Below are 20,904 nucleotides of genomic sequence, written 5' to 3' on the forward strand. Positions count from 1 at the left end.
AGCTTTACCATCTCTTGGCTTCAGTCTTTTACACCTGTCTCAAAAAGGAAGAAAAGGCCATGCGTGGTGGCTCACACCTGTAATCTCAGCACTTTGAGAGGCCGAGGTTGGTGGATCACTTGAGGTCACGAGTTCAAGACCAGACTGGCCAACATGGTGAAACCCCATCTCTACTAAAAATACAAAAATTAGCCAGGCATGATGGCAGGTGCCTGTAATCCCAGCTACTCGGGAGGCTGAAGCAGGAGAATCACTTGAACCCAGGAGGCAGAGGTTCAGTAAGCCAAGATCATGGCATTGCACTCCAGCCTGGGTGACAAAGCGAGACTCCTTCTCAAAAAGAAAAAAAGAAAAAAAAAAAAAAAGGACAGAAGGTGAGAAGGTGAAAGGAGGGCCAGATGTTAAAGACTTTTGCTACCACAGTGCCAGCCGGCCACCTGCATGTCCTCTGTGGTGTCATCACAGCCAGACCCTCAGCAGGCTCACTTGGGAGACTTTCCTCTGCTTCCTCCACCTCCAAATCACTCAAAGTGTGATTCTCTTTGGGCCTAAGACACCCAAGAGCCTACTGCTTGCTCAGGTCACCCTTTCCACTGTGCAACAGCCAGGACAGGAATTTCCTAAACGCTGACGACTTCAGCTTTGGCCTTCTCCCATTTCTGGTCCTCAACAGAGGGAAGAACAGCTGGTCACTTGTACAAAAGCCCTCCAACTATTAGAACACCTTGGTAAATATCCTCTTTTTTCTATCTAATTAATCCCAATGCCTTTATCTTTTCTTCAAGGGACATTCTCATCTCTACCTCACGCAACAGTCTTTTAATCATCTTTATGGATTTCCTCTGAGCCCTCCACAAGTTTGAAGGAACACGGAATAAGGTCCTGAAGATCTGTTTTCTGTTGCTGCAAAGATGGGAGGGAGAAAAAAGTCTTTGTTGATGAGAAAGGGGAATAATGAAGCTAAACATGTAGAATAAACTAGATTTCTCTAGAGAAAATGGCCTTGGCCGTTCTGTCTTTGTTGAAATGAGACGCAAGAAGCAAGAGGAGATACACCATCTGCTACTTGGAGAAACGAGGAGGCCTCTGTTATTATCTTATGCTGATGAACGGCCACAGAAGAACATATATTTTTGGCATCATTGTATTAATTAAAAGTTATTCATTGAAGACAAAGCTCAAAAGGCTAAATTGGGAGAGACAGAGGACACTGGATGACATAATCGCAATCTTTAAAGATCCCAGAAAGCCAAACTCAGGCTTTCTGCAGGTAAGGGCATGCACTTTAGCAGGGACAGATGCAGTGTCTTGAATTTCGGGCCCAGACCTAAGGTTCCTTGAACAGGATGACAAAGATAGGCTTAACCACCAGATGAGAAGTGACGCAGCAGGGTTTTCAGCTGATGGAAGCTCTCCATTTTATGTCTGCTTCTTGTGAAGAACTGCCTATCCCTCCCTGTGGTGGGCTGCCAAATGCTGCCAAATGCCACATTTGTTCCATGTGGAGACTGTGCAGTGGGTGGGGCTTATGGCAATCTTCAAATATTTAAGGATCTACCCATGTGAAAGAGGAATTAGTCTTGTTCTAGTGTCTAAGAAGACAGACCAGGATCAAAGTTATAGGGAGCCACACCTTAGATCAATGTGTGAAAGGGCTTTCTAACAATAGTCACGAAAGCTAGGATTTGTGAGGCCTTGCCTAAGCCCAGCCCTGCGCCAGGCACTGCCAAGGTGCAAGTGATCACTCCAGTCTAGAGAGGAGAAGGGGGCCTGGAGACGGCTGGTGACTTACCTGGCATCGCCCAGCTCATCAGTGGGAGGGCAAGGATGGGGAGGCATTAATTCATAGGCCTGTGTAATTTGTATGCCTGCTGTGCTGCTGCCCGAAGTCTAACCAAGATGTCCATTTGAAAGCAAGAGGGCTGCTGTGAACAGCCTGTCACTGGGGACACGCAGAAAGACCCAACAGATAAGATGCTGTGGAAGAAATCTGAACACAGGTGTAGAACTGAACCAACTTCCTGGAAGGTCTCTCCCAACTCAGAGAGTGGAGGATTTGACGCATAGCTCAAGAGGAGGAGTTGCTGTGTTCACTCTGGGCACCCTTCCTTCCTTCTCCTCAGGCGCTCCAGCTACGCTGACAGCACAGGGTGCTAGAGTGGCCTCAGCCTCTCCTCAAATACAGCCACATACCCATGAGTCTGCAGGCAAACAGCTCACACTGCCAAGCTTCCCTGCTGCTCTTGCTTCACTATGGGAAGCTACACCCAAAAGTGCTTTGCGATGTGCAGGAGGCAACCGGGACATAACCTGCCCACAGTTATGATCATCCTAGGGCTGACACCACCAATTATCTCTCTTCCTATTCCCCCCACCTCCTACCCCAGGAATTTATACTTGAACTGGGAGCAGCTTCTGTTGGTGGGAACATCTGGGTTGTTTCCATGGCCTAGCCAGCACTCTCAGCTCTGTATTCTCTGCCCCGAGCACTCTGGCTGCCCTCCAGCTTGATGGAGGGTCCTGGGGACACATTCTGATTCCAGCACTTTCTAAGCAGACAGTGGTATTTCTCCACATGGAAGGTTGGCTGTTCAGTGTGGCTCTGACCCTTGGGAGACCCTGCCTGCTGGCTTTTGACTGCCAGGGGAAGAAGGGGTGGGAAGATGTCGGCAATGGCGGAGGCGTGCAGCCAACCAGCCAGGACGGCTGTGTCTGTTCACGGCTGTCCACAGTGCTGCCCAGCTCCTGAATCTGCTGTTGCTGGAAGGACAGCCTCCCACTGGCACCGAGAGTCATTCCTTTTCTATTTGATTTATAAGATAGCAGTGAGGGCTGGGAGGCTTGGAGTTGGAACAAAACAGAGGGAAGGAAAACGTCATGGGAAGCAACCTATTTTTGAAAGCTGTGAGCTGACGCCAGGAGATTAGGTTCTGTTTGTCTTGGCTGATGGGCTTGTTTAAAAAAAAAAAAAAATCCCAAACCCCCTCTCCCCCCAAAACACGAAGTATTCCTGCTGTCTGGGTCTGCTCTGGCTGTCTGGAAGCATCTTGGCTTTGTTCAACACACCCCCTGCTGCCAGGAGCACGGCTCTATCCAGAGCAAATCCCCCCTGTCAGCAGGAATTCCGACGCTGACACAGCACAAAGCTGCCTCAAGAGGCCTTCTCAGTTTCTGGACTGACCTCAGAATCCTGTGCATCTGGGTAACGCCTGGCCGAACCTTCCTGCAGGCTAGGAATGGAGGCCAATGACAATGCATTCAAGGGAAGCCAGGTCCCCTGGAGTGTGGCACATATTCAGCTGGATCTGCTGAGCTGAGGCAAGCCTGGGCTGATGCAGGTGTGTCAGGAGTGAGGTCTGGGAACTAGGGAGAGGCCACTCAGGACTCCTCACTGGGGCTGGGCCAAGGGTACTTTTCTCAGCTTCAAGAGCAGGCTGGTGTAGTTACATGGAGACAAGTTGTTTCCCGGTCTATTTCCTGCAAAAAGCTGCAAGCTCCAGGGACCACAGCTCATGCACCTCTGTGCCCCTAGGACTGTGTTTTGTGTCAGGCCTGGAACAGGTCTCCACCCACCCTCACCCCCATAAGAGCCGATGGCTTTGGAGTAGGAAGGGGGCACAATAAGCAGCAACTTGGGACCAGGACAGGGCCTTCACAGGCGGCAAGCATGTGCCAGCAGCAGGGTAGAAGGTGTAGCACTTGGGGACCAAGACTGACAACGGAGGGCCAGACACAAATGGCAGTATCAGCAGCAGCAGCAGGTGTATCATGAGAAACTCATGCCAGGTTGCTAAATCAGTCTGGCTCCTGACCTGTTCCCTCAAGCATCTTGCCTCCCATTGAAAAGTGTGTGGGGCCTTGCAGTTCACAGCATCCTTCTTCCACCCTCCAGAAGGTCACTGCTTCTAAGGGCAGTACCACTGACATTTTCTGCAAATGCCAGGGTCATCTGAGGCTGGGTGTGGTGGAGATCTGGGCACTGGCTCTGGACCTGGCTGCCCTGGGAAACAGGCCTGAGGTGGGGGCCTTGACCCTGGTTTCAGGGGTAGACTGCAGGCCGCCCACTCCTGGACCCCATTCTGCCATGCCCCCAGATCCATGGGCTGTCCAGAGGCGGGGAGGCCAGTTTGCAATGGCAAACCACAATATGCCTGGGAATCCTCAGTGTTAGGGAAAAGCATGGGAGCATCACACTTCATCTCAGTCTCAGGACACCTTGGGGGTGAGGTGCCACTACAAGGGCTCCTGTGCACAGTCAAGGTTGAACAGGCCCTCCTGCAAAATGTGATGTTGAGGGACCAAAATACAGAAATAGTACAAGCTCAACTACATTTAAAATAAACCTACAAAAAAGTCAGAAAGAAAATACATCAAAGCACCTACAGTGGTTATTTACAGATGCTTGGGTCAAAGAAAGTTATTTTCTTTTCTGTGCTTTCTTTTTCTTTCTGTGAGCATGTATTCTACAACTGGCATTTTATAATCAGGAAAAAAATGTTATTAAGGAAAATAAAAAAGACAGACAGTGGTACTGGCCTCTGCCTGTCCGTAGGCAACGTGAGGCTGCATGTGTGCTCACATGGACTATCAACAACAGGGCCACTGGACCTGTCCCGCCTTGCCGCTGTGTCCCCGGGTGGGATCCTCCAACAGTGTACGGTGGAAGAGCTGCCACCACAGGCCAAGTGCTTCTGAAAGATGACTCACCTGCAGCAACTCCAGATCAGATGAATCCTCCTGTCCAGGGACCATTTCTGTTAACATCTCAGACATGACTTTTGTGTTTCCTCGAACGACGTCCAGTTCACTCCGCAGCCTGGCAATCTGGTGGGGGCCACGAGGAAGGAAAGCAGGAAGGAAAGGTCAGTCAGCCTGCACTTGCAATATCAGAATCAGCTTGCTCCTAGTCTAGTGACAATCCTTCTCACTGGGAGATCTGGGTTGCCTTTCTGAGTGCACACTGCAGAGGCCACCTTCTCATCTCCCTCTGGCCTGCCTGTCAGCTCTGAGAGAGCTGAATGGGCCCTGCCACCAACAGTCTGTTGTGCCTCTCTGACTGTGACACGAAAGCAGTACCACGTAGTGAAGGGCTCCGTGTCAGGAGTGCACCAAGCTGGCTCTCCGTCTCGGCTCTCCCACCACGGGAACTTGAGTAGAAGCTGAACCTCTCAGGGCTTCCGTTCCTGCTCTTTAAAATCCAAGTGCAGGAGGGCAGGAGCTCTGAGATCCCTTCAGAGCTGAGATCCTATTCTACAAAGCTCTGAGTTATAGACTCTGCTCCTAGGAGTTTTACATCTAAACACTAGGATCCCTCTGAGAGGCTGGGCAGTGTCAATAGCACTTTTCTGCTGCGGCAAGAATGAGAGAACAGGGGAAGACGACAGGGGAGACACCTTCCCCACCCAGCTCCCTACATGGTAACACAGCCCCTTGAAAAATACCCAAGTTGCCCATCAGCGATCCCAAAGCCTGGACCTGGGCCAAGGCCCAAGGCTCCTCTCCAGCAACAGAGACATCATACACTTTCTCCCCTTGCCCTCAGTCCTGTGCCTCAGATCTGCCCCTTCACTCCCTCAACCCCCTCGAAGGATCTGCAGAAACCACAGGGACCTTCCTTGCCCACAGTGAAATATCATAGAAGAATCTGCATAGAGGTGGCTACTGGTCCCATCACTCAGTGACAAGAGACCAAATAACGCTGGACAGAGGTCAAGAACTGCACAGGACACTGGAGGGAGCCCTGGAAGACTCAGCAGCAACATCCAGAGCCGGACCTGAGCCTCTCTGAGCCTTCGTTTCCTCACCTACAGAAAGGTGGCACTAACCTCACCAGGCTGCTGTGAGTTTCCCATGCGGCGCCTGGCATGCAGGTATGCTCTCTACTACACACATACGGCCCTTGTTCCTGCTCAAAGGTCCAGAGAGAGGAACTGTAATGTCATTCTTCCTGCACTGTGACCCAGCTTAAGTGACAACTTCTCTCCCCAGTGAAGCCTTTTCTGACTCTCCCCACCCCATCCTGAGGTAGAAGCAACCACTCCCGCCTCCTCAGGTTCCCACTCGCTGTGCCATCTTCCACTATTGCAGCTGTAGCAGCCTCTCCTGTGTGGGTGGGCTCTCTCAGCAGACCTTTAGCTTCTTAGGGCAGGAACTCAGCTGGGTTGAGCTTTATACCCTCAGCACAGAGACAGGGACAGGAGACCTCAATCAATGGTCTACCAGGGAGATGGTCTGGGTCCTGAGAGGCTCTTGTTAGCCTCTGGCTCTGCCTGGTGGATGATCCAGGGGTTTTCTTCAAAGTCTTGGTAGAGAGAAGAGGTTTCTGGCTAGGAAGGCCCAGGAAGGCTATGGGCAGCCACCCAGTAGACTCTGAAGCCCTGGGTCCTCTTGGCCAGGCTGGGTGCTGACCTGCCTACCTCTGCTTGCATTCTGCTCTCCAAGGGGCAACATGCCTCAGGGCTCCTGTGCTACCTATGCCCAGACCCTGCAGACCCAGCATCTTCTGGCTACTAGGAGGGCCTTCCCAAGCACCTCCCACACTTTGAGTCGGTGAAGGGGCTCAGTAACTGTCCAACTTCAAACATTTTCTGCCTTCCCTCAGAGCAGGAAGGGCACAGTTCTGCCCATAGAAGCAGGGCCAAAAGCCAGAGACCTTCTTTCCCACAGCACTTGGGTAGCCACAATGAGGACCTCTTCCATCTGCCTGTCAAGCCCACAGCTGCCTGGTGGGGTAACAAATCACTTGTTCTACTGATGGGAGACCGGGGTTAAATGTCCTGACTGAAGCCTAGAGTGAGCAGCAGAGCTGGGGGCTCACACCCAGGCCCTGGGGGCTTCAAGTTCACTCCTCCTGCTCTCACCGTACTCCCTGCTCAGAGCTAGCAGGGAAGTGTGAGGAACACGACACAACACTGCCATCCCTACACACACATTGCTATCCCTACACACACATTGCTTGACCCCTCTGCTTCAGTGAGGTTCCACAGTCATGACATTGTCGCAAATAGTAAATAAGGATTTGGTAAATATAAACATTGGAGAGTTTTTTTTTCCCCCAAGTCTGACCAATTCTCAAATTGTAACTAATTGAAGTTCTATGGATTCTTCTAAAGAGCACTCCCCAATTCATCTAAAAAATCCAGTGTGGGGTTAAAACTGCATTAGTTTATCAGGAAGTAACCCGGGAGGGTGGGGAGTGTTTGGGATAAAAGCAGGCTTCTTGTGCTTCAGGAGGGCCTCCCTGATCAGGTCACAGGCCTCTGATGGCTGACTTTTTTTATGGGATAGATCTAAGCCTCTGCATGATAGACAAGCCCGTCACAACTCAGCTGCACGTCTATGCTTTTGGCCTCACATTCTGCCATGGTTTCCTCCCAGATCTGGGCCCTACATATGCGCCTGCTCTCCAATCAAGCCACCTGCTGCTCCGAGAGAGCAGCGTCTGCATCTCTGCATTTAAATGTCATTGCTGAGCATGCGGTCTCACCTGACAAAGCCCAACTCCTGTGTCAGGACCCTCTGCATGTCAGGTCCCCGGTGCCTCCCAGGCACCACTCAACCCTGGGCTCACAACTCTGAGCCCTTGGTTCTGCTCCCCACCACAGCCTGACCACAATCCATCATGACTTCCTCAGCATCTCTCTCCCCTGGGGATTGAGCCCTTCCATCTCTGTGTCCCTAACACCCAGCACAATACCTGGCTTGGGAGGCCTTTGTAAGTGTCTCCCAGAAAGATGAAAAAGGATAGTCAGCTGGCTTGCCTATGGCCCCGAAGTATGCAAGTACCTGTTCTGAATTGGCTGTGATGGGGCCAGTCACACTCAGAGCTGGGGCCTGCGGTGCGGAGTAGGGAGCAGGAGGCGGCGAGGAATAGGAACCAGCACTTGTCCTCTGCTGTGATTGGGACCTGGGCATGGTCGCAGCTGGATCCACTTCAGGGACACTCTGGCATGGCAACAACAAAGTCCTCTGTTTACCTGGGCTGCCTGCATAGCTGGACCTGGTACCTACCCCACCCCATGCAGCACTTCCCCAAGGCTGCCCACGAAAGGCTCAAGGCCCTGCTCCACTGCTGCCCGGGTGAGGTTCACAGAACCCCACTGAGCCCAGGCTCTCCATCTGGGAAGTGGGGCTGCCAATGGCTCCTCCCTCTACTTACCTCTCAAGGAATGTGTGGCAGACCAATGAAAGCAACTCCAAAAGGCAGCACCGAGAGTGCTCTGTGAGCCCTCTGGTCATGGTTCCTATTATTAAGACCACCTCGGGATCCAAGTGGAGGGAGGGCGGTTATTAAGTTTTGCTAATCACAGATCTTTACTTGGTACCATAAGAATTACTTTTTTGGTCTTTACAAGTAGACTAATATAAATAGTAATTATGCAATTTACCAAATGTTTTTTGTAATTATAGGAACAACAACACTGCTCTCTGTCATTATTAGAAGAATGAAACAGGTTATGTTGATTTCACAAAGCATAGCGCGTGGTCTGGAGGGATCATGATGAAAACAGCCTCCAGAAAGGGCAATCCCCTGGGCCAGGTGCGGTGGCTTACGCCTGTAATCTCAGCACTTTGGGAGGACGAGGCGGGTGGATCACAAGGTCAGGAGATAGAGACCATCCTGGCTAACACAATGAAACCCTGTCTCTACTAAAAATACAAAAAATTAGCCAGGCATGGTGGCGGTCACCTGTAGTCCCAGCTACTCAGGAGGCTGAGGCAGGAGAATGGCGTGAACCCAGAAGGCGGAGCGTGCAGTGAGCCAAGATTGTGCCAGTGCACTCCAGCCTGGGCGACACAGCAAGACTCCGACTCAAAAAAAAGAGAAAGGGCAATCCCTCATGCTTGCCCTTTGGGTATCTCAGATGACCTCTTGCACATTAAAATTAAGTCGTGTTCCTACGAGAGATGTGCACAGGTGTGCTATCCTTCTCAGAGATGGGCAGTGGGGGCAGGCAAGGTGAAGTGTACTGGGATGAGGTGCCTCTCCCAGACCCTGGTGCTTTCCTGGCTCTCCCCCAGGCTAGGAGTGGAGTTGATTCCCAGCCAGTAGAGGGACTAGCTTCCTTGAGAAACCATGAGGCATGACCTACATGCTTTTAACCCTGAAGTGCCAAGCTGCCCCCTCCACGGTGCTCAAGTTACTGTTGGCACTGCAAAAGCTTTGGTGGGATGCCCCTAAAGGGACCTTCCCAGGGCTTTGATCCCAAGGCTGATGGAATCAAGGATTGAATCCAGAATCAATTCTGGATTGATGCTGAATACTCACAGCTCAAAATAAATTTTAGATCCATTTGACTTGGTACAATTGAAAAAACAGAAAGCTACTTTTTGACCCAAGAGTGACATCAAGCCCTGAGGTGCTATGGTGCTCTGAGGGACAACAGGATTCCCACACCAGATTCTAGGGGCCTCTGAAAAGCAGGTGCTAATGACCCTCACAGGATGGCTCCGCCCAAGTAGCCATTTCCATGAAAACCCTGAACTGATCCCTTTATTATATTCTTCCACAGACACTGCTGCCACTTAATCACCAGTCAACCAGCTGTCTCACTCCTGCATGCCCCTTGTTATTAAAAAGGAATGCCCCCGAGCTTTAAGAAAGCATGATGACAAGCTGAATAATTCAAAGGCAGCAGCAGAAGGGTGGCTGCAGCAGCTTGGCTCACCCGTTCTGCAGTAGGTCTTTCTAGAAAGTGCCAGCTGGAAGCTTACCCGCTGTGGTGTGTGTATGGGAGACAGAGCGTCCAAGTCTGCCATGGGAAATTCAACCCCTTTCCTCTTCAGCTCCTCATATATGTGCACAACGCCGGTGAGATCAGGACTGCTTCGAAAGGCATCAGCCCATGCCTGGGATAATAGAAGGCCTGTTAGGAAGCATTTCTCAGAGCTGCCATGGTATCTGAAAATCCAAAGTGGCCCACGTCCTCTCCCCGAGACCAGTGCTCTCCTACTTGCACATGCAAATTGCACTGGCTAAACCTATTCTGTTCCTCTCCTTCCGCAACTGCTGCCACGACACAGCTGGTGAAACCCTGGCTTTCAATGGTGCTGCTGAGCGTGAACAAAAACACAAAACTTAATTTAGCATGTATTTCCTTGGAGAAGAGACAGAGAAATAACACCTATGCACGGTGGTGCATCCTAAAAAGCAGGAATTTCCCTAATGGCAAGGAAATCAATTGCTGGGGCTGTTCAGCTGCAGGGAGTGGAAGCTGGAGCCTTGTCAGCTCAGCAGGGTGCCTGCCCTCTGTGCGGGAGCACCTCTGCCCTGAAAGCTTCTACTGGTGGAGTTGGGAACCGGCAACAAATTGAGCAGAAAGGAAAGGAGAAATTGATGTGTGACATGAAGTAAAGGCTAACTACAGGTTTCCTCAGATCAGAGACAACTAATGCTGAGCTTGTCTAGCCTAGCTCTGTCTAGCGCTGCTGCCAGTAGGTGAGATGACTGTGGTTCAAGGGAAGAAGAGCCCATTGGGAGCTAGACCCAGGCCAGACTGGGGAGTTCACCCCCAGGGGTCCTTTTCCCAGACCCAAGCTTCTTTCATGATGTCCGCTGCCAAAAATGTCAGCACATGTGTGCCCAAATCGAAAAATCCCAAGAAAAGCACAATCACCAGATTCCCTTCAGTGAAAACATATCACAGAGAGGAAAGAGCAAAAATTCAAGTAGATTATCATTTCTGTTGACTCATGAAACTTAAAAATTAAAAAAAAAATTCTGGGCTGGGTGCGGTGGCTCATGCCTGTAATCCCAGCACTTTGAGAGGCCGAGGCGGACGGATCACGAGGTCAGGAGATCAAGACCATCCTGGCTAACACAGTGAAACCCCATCTCTACTAAAAATACAAAAAAATTAGCTGGGCGTGGTGGCGGGTGCCTGTAGTCCCAGCTACTCAGGAGGCTGAGGCAGGAGAATGGTGTGAATCCGGGAGGCAGAGCTTGCAGTGAGCTGAGATGGCGCCACTGCACTCCAGCATGGGCGACAGAGCAAGACTCCGTCTCAAAAAAAAAAAAAAAAAAAAAAAAATTCTGTTCTTTGGAAGTCTTGGACTGTATCAAAAACAGAATACTCAAAGGCCTTCCCAGAAATGGCCCTTCTCATGCTGTCCCATTCACCATACATACCCAAAGGAGGAGGCAGAGCCTCCTGTGCCCATGACTCCATTGCCAAGTCTGTCATTGTCACAGAATTTAACTGTCTCCCTCACTCCAGCAATGTGGTACAACCAATCCTGAGGCAGCCACAGAAACTCTGTCTCTAACCAACAGACCCATTTGAAGTTAAAAGGTCAGTTTCCAAAAAGCCTCCTTAATTATGACTGATGCATCTCACCAGGAACAGTACTGTCAGCCCGGCTTTCCCTGATGCACTTATTTAATTTGCATGCTCAGGGATTTAAAACTACTGGATCAGGACAGCCCCTCTTGGCCAACACTCCTTCTGGATTCTGAGGAGGGCCAAAGAAAGTGCCTCACAGAGCACTGTCTGGAAGGCCCAGCTGGAGGAGAGTAGGTTGCCCGTAGGGAGTGCCTCTGGCCCCGCCCCCACCAGCTGCGCTGGCTGCCTCCACCTGGTTCAAAATCCAGCTAAGTCCTGTGACGCCAACCTCAAAATGCCCTAGCATTTTAGTTTAGGGTGTTGACTTTAGGGTCTAAAAACCAGTTTCACAGCCCACTGTCGGAGGCTGGGGAAAAAACACATGGCAGTTCTTCCTGGCACCACTTCATGCCTTTGTACATGGAGTACCAACAGCTCCAGGGATTCCTTTCAATTCATCTAGCTCTCTACCCAAGCCAAATTTGAGATAATAGGAATAAAGATGAAAGAACTATGGCTCTTCTCTCCAGTTGGAGGATACTTCTTCGGGTCCACTTTCTAAGGCACTCTGCTTCCATGTTCACAGAGACAGACTGGAGTGGGAGGGAAATGCACACCCAAGTTGGGCCAATCAGATGCTCCTCCTTCCAGGAACTCAGCAGCACTAGAAGCTGGGATGTTCTCACTGGGTAGGCAGAACTGTCCTCTGTAACTCCAGGGCCATGTGCCAGCACAGGACTGGAAGCAGAGACAGCCTATGTTCTCCAGAAGGAGCAGCTAGAGTGCTCGGAGGTGCAGGCGTACAGGAGAGGATTTGGAAGGCCTTCCTGATATTTTCTGTCCCTTCCCAGGGCGGGGTGACCTGGACTTCTGGGAGACTCTGCCCTGTCATGACAAACTCTTCTCTTTGCCTAGGCAAGCTGGAGTTGGCATCTGTTATTTGCGATCAAGTAGTCTTGGCTAATCTACCCGCTTCCTACCTGCCACAATTCCAACCCTTATCTGGGACCTCTGTGCAGACTGGATGAGATGGCTGCTAACAGAGCAGATATTCATGATGGCAATCTCTATTGAATAGGATTCTCATGCCAACAGAGGAAAAAATGGGGTGCAGGGGCGCCTCTGAATAAATGCAGCTCTGGGTGTCTCTCATCTCTGGGTGTCTCCCATTCATATGTGAAAACGTACAGATGGGAGACATCCAGAGATGCCATGTGTCCCTAGCATCTTCTTGGGACATGCCTCAATAATTGGGCATGGGTCAGAGCTGTCCCCCAGGCTGGAGTACAATGGTGGTGCCATCTCAGCTCACTGCAACCTCTGCCTCCGGGCTCAAGCAATCCTCCCACTTTAGCCTCCAGAGTAGCTGGGACTATAAGCATGTGCCACCATACCTGGCTAATTTTTGTATTTTTTGTAGAAATGGGGTTTCATCATGTGGCCTAGGCTGGTCTTGAACTCCTGGACTCAAGGGATTCACCCACCTTGGCTTCCCAAAGTGCTGGGATTACAGACATGAGCCAACTGCGCCCAGCCCAGACACCTTTTGAAGGCAGACACCGAGTCTCTCACCCGTGTACAGAGAAGGCAGTCAGTCAACATTTATCAGGTTAAACTGAATTCAGTTCTCACAGTTACTAAGCATCCTTATTTTCCTACTTCAGAGAACAGAGGAAAGATGGCCACTTAGGCTGTCAACAGACTGAAGTGACAGTGACAAAGGAGGGGTGCTGGAAGGCTGACCCAGCTGAGAATACTCCCTAGAGAAGATGTGGCAAGCCTCAGGAGGTCTGGCCACTCTTGGAGTGCTTAACCTGAAGCCTGAGAGCAGCACTGAGGGTGGGGGAGGCTGCCCCCTCTTAAAGCTGCCTTTTCAGAAAGCAAAGTGATGCAGCGGTGTGAGCACACTCTGAGGGCCTGTCACAGGAGCTAGCTGGTTAATGGCCAAGTGGTCAGTTCACTGGAAGCCTTCTTTTCCTGCCTGTGGCTACAAGATTAGGGGCTTGGAAGACCCAGAGGAAGGTCTAATGAGGAGAAAAAAGGAAAGAGATCAATTCAGATCTCCTTCATTCCTTTGGACCGTATACAAAACCCCAGAATAAAACCAGAAACAAACATAAACCATAACCTATTCATTTCTGTATCCCTGAAAGTTTTGACAAAGCTTTGAATCATCAAATTTCAGACCAATAAACCATTGCTGATTTAAACTATGGGCTCTGGGATGCCTTTGGATAGAAGGGAGCTTCTGTCAGCTCCTGCTTATGCCCCAGACCAGACTTCCTATTCCCAGTGACAGGGTCCCCAGGGAGCTGCTGTCCACACAGAATCTGGCCAGAGCCCAGCTACCAGGCTCTGACGTCTTCAAAGAACACACACCTCCAGTTTCTCCTGTCCCCACTCCCATCCCCACCCCAATCAGTTCACTTTCTTCAGTGGAAAGTGCATATGGTTAGACTATTGCTGGGGCATGGGGAGGGGGGCTGGAGAGGCATGACCACACTGAGGTGACTCTGCCAGGATGACTCCATTTCCGCTCCTGAAAACAATTTCAAGGGAAAGGCTCAGGGATGGCATAGAGTGGGAGCATCCTTTTTGTCTTCTCAACAAATGGGACTTAATGTAAGCAAACAAAAAGGGACACAAGCCAAAACACCAGCCAAGGCATGAGGTGAAAACATAGGGGTGAAGCTGAAAGCTGCCGGAAGGGAAGTCTTTGGTGCCCCTGGGGGTAGAAGTGAGTGTCAGCAAGCTACCAACCAGGCTGCACCACTCTCAATGTGTCTTTCCTCCCATCCTCCCAGGGAGACCGGCTCCATCCAGAAAGGCAGATCCTGTGGTGCGGGTAAGCCGACTGAGCCCTCGCACATGTTGGTAAAAAGTACCAGAACCACACTGCTGGGTCTGTCTTTTGGCGGGTTGAGGGGGATGGGGTGGCTACGGATGGCTGGAGGGCAGCCAGAAGACAGAAAGCCCCCATACGGGAAAGGAAGGAGTACAGTGGGGAAAGGAGGGGTAGGCATCAGCTGGATTCTCTTTGCAGTTGGCCAGGGTGCTACTGATGGCAAAGGTGCCACTGGGTAGGCTGACCATGCCTGCGAATGGCACTCTGAAAGGGAATCAGAAGGTGGGCTGGGGGCAGGCAGATATGCACGGATGAGCTCTATCACCCACTTCCCTATAGGCACAGGGGGACTTTGGAAAAGCTAGTGTGGAGCCCAACCTCCCCCTTCCCCTCAATCTGGCTGCAGCTCTGCTTCCACCATCCTCAGGGCAACCAAAGGGGCAGTGGGCTTTGGCCAGCAGCTGGTAATCAGAGCCATGGGTTCTACCTCTGCCAGGACCCCCAACCATGCCTCACAGGCAGGAGGTGTTAGGGAGGCACGTCTGTGTGGCCCCTTTACCTTGAAAGCTTTTCAAGTGCTAACACATTCGATCTACTTTTCCATAATGGAAAGGTTAAGGCTGTACCCCACTCCACCCCCAAGCCACAAACAGTCAAAAGCCAGTTTAAGTCCTTCCTGGCTGGGCCCTCACCCTCTGTCATCTGCAAACCTTTGCTTCTCCAGTTAAACTGCAGGCTCCCTGAGGGTAGGGCCAGGACTGACCCTGTCCCACTTCTCTGAAGAGCACCAAGAAGCATCCTGATACCACGATGGTGCAGAGAAGTCTGTTACCGCTCTGGCACCCCACACTTAGCTGAACCTCCTCTCAGCCTAGCCGCATTGATATGAGAGCTGCTACCAACTCACAGGCTGGCAAGGCAGCCAGTGACCTGTCACCTCCAACCCCATTCTTGTCTCATGGTGGGAGCAGCACTTTCTCTCCTGGGGGAATTGTCAGAGTCTCTGGGGGAGTCTTAAGTTTTCTAAAGTATATTCAACATGCAAATAAAAGTACTTTCTTTCTCAAAGGGGCTAAAAAAAGGTTGACCCAATGCAATGCTACTCCATGCTCTAATGAAGAAGATTGAAAACAGGGTGTGTGGGTGAGGATGCGAAGCAACTAACATTCTTGGGTGCTGGTGGCTGAGAACACCCAAGAGCCCAGTGGAGCCCATTCCCCACCACACAGCAACCTCACACCCCGGTATGAGGTGGATACATATGAAATTGCTAATATTTGGCCATTTTTGACCAACAAAGATGGCACTTTCACATATTCAACTTAATATATTCCCATTAAAAAGGAATATATATATGCTCAAGAAAAGTCAAGTGCTAGATGCTCATAGCAGCATTTTTCACAGTACCCCCAAACTGCAAACACCAAGTCCCCATCAACAGTGGGAGGGGTAAATAAACTGTAGTGTGTTCACACAACAGGACTTGGCACAGCAATGGCAACGAAAGACCTAGAATCACAGGCAACAATGCGTGTGACACCCACAAACACAGCAGAGGCAACAGAGCACTCTGGATGAAGTTCAGGAACAGAGAAGACTCGTCTATGCTGTGAGAGCTCAGGCAAGTGGTCATCCGGAAGGTGGGAGGTTTTGGGTGTGGTCATATTCTGTTTCTAGATGCAGGGGCTGGTTACATGTTCAGTTTGTGAAAATTTATCAAGTTGTATACACTTTTATGTGTGATTTCCTGTATATATATTATAATTCAATTAAAAGTTTAAAAAAAAGAAAGGGCTAGGGATCCTGTTTATTCCATTGGTTCACCCTGTTACAGAAGCCAAGCCACCCACAGCTGAATGCTGCCTGCTGTCCTCTGCTGGGCAGCCGTTACCAAAGGTAAGAGCTCTTCAGGAACACTGCAAATCTGGAGAGGAAGAACACTCTCCAGCTGGGTTATCAACCCCCATCTAGGAGTAGCACCCTTATCTGAAGCCCATGCTTTTCACAGCTGGACCAGGAAACTGTCCAGCCAGGCAGAAGCTTGTGAGGCATCTCAAGGCCCTGTTCTGCTCAGGTCCCCATGGCCAGCACACACTGCTACTGCCAGACCAGCAGGGGGAGGCCTCAGAACATGGTGCTGGCCACTTCACACCTTGGGCTGATCTCATGGGCTCAGGATTGAGAGCAGACAGGCAAGAACCCCAAGTTCCATTTTACAGATAAGGTGGTACATGCCCACAATAAATTAGTACACCTGTCTGAGGTTAGCAGCAGGACTGGGTAAAAGCTAGGAGGAGCTGGAAAGTGTGGAGGGGTGATCCTGATAGGAAAGCTTGGAGGTGAGGGCAGGGTGTGCGGGGACAGGCATCCTCAGGGTAGAGGTGTGGGCCACAGCCAGTGAAGAAGGCTGTGTCTGCCCTCAGCCATGGTCCCCACACAGTCAGCAGGGACAGTGCAGTTCACACCCCTTGTGATAACTGTGCTTGCCATGCGGTAGGCTAGCCACCCTGCTGGGCCCGCCACCCTGCAGACAGGCCTCGGGGTCAGAAAGCTCTACCACAGGACATGCTTTGTGAGAAGAAGCCACCATTTGTTTTCCTAACATGAATTCCTGGGGGTATTGAGGTAGGGGAGTGCAGCCCCAGAAGGAAGGGCTGTGGTAGAGTGGGGTGTATGAGGAAGGTAAAGTGCATGCACACGTGTGTGTGTGTGTGTGTGTGTGTGTGTGTGTGTGTCAGAGGGAGACAGAGAGACAGAAGGATATTGGGTGGGCAGAACAGGGACGAGGGACAACCCTAGGGTAAACAGGGGAAGGCCTCCCAGAGTTCCTCAGAATTAACTACATTCACTCATTCATTATAAAGAAATACTGAACACCCGCTCTACACATTACACTGCTCTAGACCCTGGGGACAGCATGTCCCTGGGTTCTTAGGGAACGAAGAATGAGGCAGACAAAAGAAATGTTAGCAAAGCCAGTCTTGAAGACCACAAAAAAGGATGATGTGAGACAGAGAGTGTGTGTGCTTAAAACCAGCTGGAGGCCTCCGAGGCACCTGTGAATGAGGAGGAGGAGTCACTGCTCTGAAAGCTGGGGAAAGACCTTTCAGGCAGAGGGAAGTGAGCACAGGGAATGGACAGAGGCTCCTCTCCAGCTGCACACCTGACCCATCTGAGAGCCCGGCCTGCCCCGGCACTCCACTTCCTGCATTCTCCGCTGCCTCTGCCTGGTTGCCTCCCTTTGCCCTTGCTGGAGCCCCACGCCCAGCCCTAGGTTTGTCTCTCCTCTTGGCTCCTGCAGGCCCTTGTCTTGCCTCTGCCACAGCACTAATCACCCAGGCTGGATGTGCCTGTTGACTTATGTGCCTTCTGTGTCACCACGTGCTCTGTCTAAAACCCAGGTCTGCACACATCCCAGCTCAGAGCCCTTCGATGTCTTCCCACTGCCTACAGGACCAAGCATGCCTCCTCAGCATGCATGGCCACTGGCCTCTGGGCATCCTTCTGGTCCCATCTCCTGCCTGCTCCCCCACCCCAAGCCCTGCCCCCAACATTCTTCATTACACCCCCTTCCCCACATAGTGGTCTCTACAACATGTCCACAAATTATTTGATCCTCCTTTCTTCAAGAGATGGAGTTTATTTCCCCTACTCTTGAGGCTAGGCCTGGTGACTCCCTTCTAACAAATAGAATATAACAGAAAAAAATGGTATGTGACTTCCAAGGCTAGGTCATCAAGACCTAATCTTGATGTCCACATGGTGATAAACTCAGGTCTCTTGCCAATAGTCATCAAGGAACTGAGGCTTCCTGCCAACAGCCATGTGGGTGCACCATGGTGGAAGTGGAGCCTCCAGCTATAGTCGAGCCTTCAGACAATGCAACCTCAAGAGAGACTCCAAGCCAGAATTGCCCAGCCACCTGCTCCTGAATTCCTGGCCCACAGAAACTAAGAGATAATGAACATTTTCCGTTTGAAGGTATGTTTTGAGGTAATTTGTAACACAGTGAGTGATAACAAATACAACCCAAATATGCCAACTGCTCTCTTTGATGCGTCTGGGCCTTTGCACATGCTATTCTCCCTGCCTGTGAAGTCTCTCCCACTGACTTTTCCACCAAACTCCCCATCATTCTTCAGGGTCCAATGGAAATGTCATCTCCTCAGTGAAACATCCCTTAACACCATCCCCAGCCCCTTACCTTGCTCCGCCTGACCCAGAGTTGGCCCCTGCCCTGTGACCTCACCAAACCCGCACGTAGCTCTAACATGGTTCTTCCTACTCCAAGTTTTCTCAGAGGCCTGTTGAGGCCACCCTACCTGCCTTTGTGAGCAGCAGAGGGATGGCACCCAGAAAGCTTCAGGAAGGCTCTGTTAACTGGCTGGAGAGCCATCAATTAGAATTTCATTCCAGTGGGATGAGAATTTTTTTTGAAGTATTTTGCACCAAATATTTTAAATGTAGAAGTCTCCATTTTTTTTTTCCTCCAAATGGTGGGAGAGCATGAGGACTCATCAATAAGAGACTTCATCTTACTCTGTTCCAACAAATTGGGCAAGGGGTCCAACCTACCTGGATCAGAGCAAGCACTTTGTCCTGTACAATGGTGGGAGGGTTGTTCTTGGGAGATATAATTTTGACCAGAACACTGTCGATGAAATCTCGGTTGGCCACAAGGATGTGGAAGCGGTGGCCACAGTTCTTCACACATGTCTCCAGCACCTGATGTGGGGAGGGAAGGAAAAGGGTCACCCCAGTGGGAGCTGGAGAAGACACTGGGAACTGAGGAGCGCAGCTGAGTTTCCACCATCCCCTCTGTCTTGCTCCTAGATCAGCTTTCTGACACGTCTCCTCCAGAGCCAAACCTGCATGGCACACGCATTCCCACACTCCATTCTCCAGGGATGACAGCAGCCCCTTACTGACTGAAGTCTCCTGTCCCTGCACAATAATCAGGCAATTAGTTGGTAATTGAGGCACCAGTTTTGCATGAGAAGGATGCTAGTGTTTTAATGGGATCAAAATGACTGAGCGGTCCCTGAAAATTAGCATTTTAACTCCTCTCTCTGGGCCTCTGGGTATAAGGCATTAGCCAATCGGACATGGGCTCTGTCACAAGAGGAGGCTGCTATGACAGCTTGAATTGCTTAGTGAGTTACTGGCCCTTATATGTGAGAAAGCAAATGCACACACACATCCCCCACTCAACCCTGCTTCTGCAACCAAAATTGGCAATGACAAAGGATTTTCCACTCTTGACAAATGGTTTGTGGACCTCAGCTGCCAGGTGACTTTAATGTCCATGTTCAATTCAGACCCTGCCTGCTCCTCCCTTGTCTGGGAAAACAAGTGACACAGGCTTTAGCTGCTCAGAAAAGCCCAGCATACTGGTTCTGGCCAGACGGTCAGTGAGAGCTTGAACCTCAGCTCCACCACTTTCTCCCTGAATGGCCCAGGACAGATCTTTCTGAGCCTCAGCATCCTCATCTGTAAAGCAGAGATGATGAGCTCTCCCTTGCAAGATTGTTGGAAAGATTAGCAAGAATACGTTTAAAGCATAGGCCGGGCATAGTGGTTCATGCCTGTAATCCCAGCACTTTGGGAGGCCGAGGCAGGTGGATCACCTGAGGTCAGGAATTCAAGACCAGCCTAGCCAACACGGCGAAGCCCTGCGTCTACTACAAATACAAAAACTAGCCAGGCTTGGTGGCACATGCCTGTAATCCCAGCTACTTGGGAGGCTGAGGCAGGAGAATCGCTTGAACCTGGGAGGTGGAGGTTGCAATGAGCTAAGATCGCGCCATTGCACTCCAGCTCAGGCAACAGAACAAAACTCTGTCTCAAAAACATACATACATACATACATACATACATACATACATACATACATGCATGCATGCATGCATAAAATAATGCACATAGCAAAGTATCCTGCATAGGGGAGGTGCCCAATAACTGATGACCATGATTACGTGATTACTGTTCAGAAGGCTGCTGTACACACGACGAAGGGGATGGCCTCTTATCCTCCCATAGGACAGGTATGTAGCCTCTTGGAATTCGGAGGTGCCAACTGGGAGTGCTCTGAACTTCCCAGCACTGTGTAAACCAACCCATAGGATTACCTGGCCCTTCCCATGCCAACAGCCCCCAGTGCCACAGTCTACTAACTGGGGAATGCCTCCTCAAAACGATGTCACCAGCAACAGGGAACATTTCTGACTACCTCAATTATTCTCATTTGCCCAAACTAATCCAACCACTGGTTAACTTCTGCAGCCATCCCACAGGGCTAGGTCCAAGCAAGTGGGCTTTACCTGGACAAAACATAGCCGTAAAGAAAGGTCCATAACTGGAACACTGACTGAATGCGACTATATGCCAGGCACTATGAGAGATCCTTCCATAACATATGGAGTTTTATCCAATTCTCACAACTAATTACTTCTCCTTAAGTGGACCTTAATATCCCATGTTTTAGAGTTAAGAGGTTTAGAAAGGTGAAGACATTGATCTAGGTACAAATTGTCAGTCAGTGCCAGAAGGAGCACAAGAGCTGTGATTAGCCTTCTCTGGAGCCCCAGTCTCCTCGCCCACCTTGAGGCCACAGGGCCATCCCTCCCTCACAGCTCTCCTCCAAGCAGCCACATCAGCTAAGAGTGCCTCAGATGACAGGCAACATGTGTTAGATTTATTGTTCCCCCCTTTGGTCCTTGAAATAACCCTGTAAGATGG

The 20,904-nt window shown here is 50.6% G+C and overlaps 1 protein-coding gene across 17 annotated transcripts in view, besides 6 other annotated features; it reads right to left on the minus strand.

Annotated features, from left to right (window-relative positions):
- Positions 1-20,904, minus strand: part of TOM1L2 (target of myb1 like 2 membrane trafficking protein) — a 128,890-nt gene that overhangs the window by 31,409 nt on the left and 76,577 nt on the right. For 3 of the 17 annotated variants that reach the window (NM_001350333.2, NM_001082968.2, NM_001350332.2), the window contains exons 4-7: positions 18,742-18,891; positions 9,715-9,849; positions 7,786-7,944; positions 4,708-4,824 (exon numbers count right to left, since the gene is read on the minus strand). In NM_001350333.2, the coding sequence (NP_001337262.1) occupies positions 4,708-4,824; positions 7,786-7,944; positions 9,715-9,849; positions 18,742-18,891 (561 nt within the window). The remainder of the gene's footprint in view (positions 1-4,707; positions 4,825-7,785; positions 7,945-9,714; positions 9,850-18,741; positions 18,892-20,904) is intronic. The other 14 variants (XM_047435386.1, NM_001033551.3, XM_011523662.2 and 11 more) reach the window with 6 other exon arrangements.
- Positions 820-2,019: an enhancer, noted in NCBI's record as "BRD4-independent group 4 enhancer chr17:17779053-17780252 (GRCh37/hg19 assembly coordinates)". NCBI's record gives its function as "activates an origin of replication core promoter dependent on BRD2, P300/CBP, MED14 and CDK7 cofactors, and independent of BRD4, by STARR-seq in HCT116 cells {active_cell/tissue: HCT116}" and the evidence as "EXISTENCE:reporter gene assay evidence [ECO:0000049][PMID:35650434]".
- Positions 2,380-3,101: an enhancer, noted in NCBI's record as "H3K27ac-H3K4me1 hESC enhancer chr17:17780613-17781334 (GRCh37/hg19 assembly coordinates)". NCBI's record gives its function as "activates a minimal SCP1, AML or CMV promoter by ChIP-STARR-seq in naive and primed H9 embryonic stem cells {active_cell/tissue: H9 hESC(naive and primed)}" and the evidence as "EXISTENCE:reporter gene assay evidence [ECO:0000049][PMID:30033119]".
- Positions 9,140-9,901: an enhancer, noted in NCBI's record as "H3K4me1 hESC enhancer chr17:17787373-17788134 (GRCh37/hg19 assembly coordinates)". NCBI's record gives its function as "activates a minimal SCP1, AML or CMV promoter by ChIP-STARR-seq in primed H9 embryonic stem cells {active_cell/tissue: H9 hESC(primed)}" and the evidence as "EXISTENCE:reporter gene assay evidence [ECO:0000049][PMID:30033119]".
- Positions 9,902-10,661: an enhancer, noted in NCBI's record as "H3K4me1 hESC enhancer chr17:17788135-17788894 (GRCh37/hg19 assembly coordinates)". NCBI's record gives its function as "activates a minimal SCP1, AML or CMV promoter by ChIP-STARR-seq in naive H9 embryonic stem cells {active_cell/tissue: H9 hESC(naive)}" and the evidence as "EXISTENCE:reporter gene assay evidence [ECO:0000049][PMID:30033119]".
- Positions 13,890-14,391: an enhancer, noted in NCBI's record as "H3K4me1 hESC enhancer chr17:17792123-17792624 (GRCh37/hg19 assembly coordinates)". NCBI's record gives its function as "activates a minimal SCP1, AML or CMV promoter by ChIP-STARR-seq in naive and primed H9 embryonic stem cells {active_cell/tissue: H9 hESC(naive and primed)}" and the evidence as "EXISTENCE:reporter gene assay evidence [ECO:0000049][PMID:30033119]".
- Positions 16,032-16,181: an enhancer, noted in NCBI's record as "active region_11816". NCBI's record gives its function as "activates an Ori minimal core promoter by ATAC-STARR-seq in GM12878 lymphoblastoid cells {active_cell/tissue: GM12878}" and the evidence as "EXISTENCE:reporter gene assay evidence [ECO:0000049][PMID:35858748]".

The sequence above is a fragment of the Homo sapiens genome, chromosome 17, assembly GCF_000001405.40.
Source record: "Homo sapiens chromosome 17, GRCh38.p14 Primary Assembly".
NCBI lineage: Eukaryota > Metazoa > Chordata > Mammalia > Primates > Hominidae > Homo > Homo sapiens.